This window comes from Homo sapiens, chromosome 15 (genome assembly GCF_000001405.40).
Source record: "Homo sapiens chromosome 15, GRCh38.p14 Primary Assembly".
Classification (NCBI taxonomy): domain Eukaryota; kingdom Metazoa; phylum Chordata; class Mammalia; order Primates; family Hominidae; genus Homo; species Homo sapiens.
Window position 1 is genome coordinate 73,011,920 of NC_000015.10, and position 1,852 is coordinate 73,013,771.

A 1,852-nucleotide genomic window follows, 5' to 3' on the forward strand; every position below is an offset into this window, starting at 1 on the left:
TCGGCTCACTGCAGCTTCTGCCTCCGGGGTTCAAGTGATTCTCCTGCCTTAGCCTCCAGGGTAGCTGGGATTACAGGCGTGCACCACCACACCCGGCTGATTTTTGTATTTTTAGTAGAGATGGATTTTGTATTTTTAGTAGAGATAGATGTTGGCCAGGCTGGTCTTGAACTCCTGCCCTCAAGTGGTCCACCCACCTCGGCCTCCCAAAAAGCTGGGATTACAGGCGTGAGCCACCGTGCCTGGCTGACAAATAAACTTATACACTTAATTTCTGTGGAGAAAACAAAAAATTTACTTAGGATGTGTGAGAAAACACTTGCCTAATTGGGAACCATACTGTCTTGGTGATGAGAGAAACTTTTTATTATTATTTATTTATTTGGAGATGGAGTCTTGCTAAGAGATATTAAAACATTTTATAAAGCTATAGAAATTAAAACAGAGGCCAGACATGGTGGCTCATGCCTGTAATCCCAGCACTTCGAGAGGCCGAGGCAGAAATCACTTGAGCTCAGAAGTTCAAAACCAGCCTGGGCAACATGGCAAAACTCCGTCTCTACAAAAAATACAAACATTACCTGGGTGTGGTGGGTAAACAGCATTGTACTGGCATAAAGAAAGACACATCAGTGGAATAGAATTCAAATTAATGGACATCAGATGATAGTCAATAAATGATGTTGAGAAAACTTGCTGGCTCCCTCTCCCCTTCCCTCCCTCCCTCACCTCCCTTCTCCTCTCCTCTCCGAGACAGAGTCTCCCTCTGTTGCCCAGGCTGGAGTGCAGTGCAGTGGCACTGCAAGCTCTGCCTCCCAGGTTCAAGTGATTCTCCTGCCTCAGCCTCCAGAGAGCTGGGATTACAGGTGCCCGCCATCATGCCTGGCTTGATGGCGATTTTCACGGGAAAAAAAGGCTAGACCCATATTGTACTTGTCGGTGTTAAATTCCTGAGAGATTACAAATTAAGAATGCAAAAACTTGAAGAAAAGATGAGGAAGTTCTTTTTGAAGCTTGCCACCAAAGACAAAAACCATAAATAAAAGACTGCTAGGGTAGATTACTAAAATTAAAAATTTTTGAAAAGGGAAAGCACTCCATAATCAAAATTAAAAGGCAAATATGTGTTTACAACACATATGACAAGGAACTAATATCCTTAATATATAAAGAGTTCTACGAATTGATAAGGAAAGATTAGCACCCAAATATGAATATTGGCAAAGGACATTAACAGACAATTCCCAAGAGAATATAAATGACCAATAGTTATACAAAAATATGTTTAGCCTTACTAGTATTCAGATATACAAAATGAATAATCAGGCTGGGCACCGTGGCTCATGCCTGTAATCCCAGTACTTTGGTAGGTGGAGGCGCAAGGATCACTTCAGGCCAGGAGTACAAGACCAGCCTGGGCAACATAGCAAGACCTGGTTTCTACAAAAATAAACTCTCAAAGCTGAGACAGGAGGATCTTTTGAGTCCAGGAGTTTGAGGTTACAGTGAGCTATGATCACGCCACTGAACTTCAAGAGTGGGAGACAGAGCAAGACCCTGTCTCTAAAAAAGTAAAAATAAAAAATAAATCAAAAAAATCAAATAACCAGTGGAGAGTATTTATTATGTTGGCAAAGCCTAGAAAGCCTTCTCAGTGGTGTCAAAGATGAGTGGAAATCAAATGTAGCTATCTGCTGGACAAGGCACCACGCCACCTCTAGCACTAGACAGCTCTTCCGACACTAATGTTCCTGGAAGCTGAATGCTCTTTCAACTGAAGGAGCTTATAGGCAAGGAAAAAGCAGGAAGGTCACAGGAGTAGCTGCAATGTAGCCCCATTATTGTTGAAGGG

At 42.5% G+C, this 1,852-nt stretch overlaps 1 annotated feature.

Annotated features, from left to right (window-relative positions):
• Window positions 320-535: a silencer, noted in NCBI's record as "fragment chr15:73304580-73304795 (GRCh37/hg19 assembly coordinates)". NCBI's record gives its function as "represses an EF-1alpha promoter that drives an FKBP-Casp9 reporter gene in an ReSE screen in K562 erythroleukemia cells {active_cell/tissue: K562}" and the evidence as "EXISTENCE:reporter gene assay evidence [ECO:0000049][PMID:32094911]".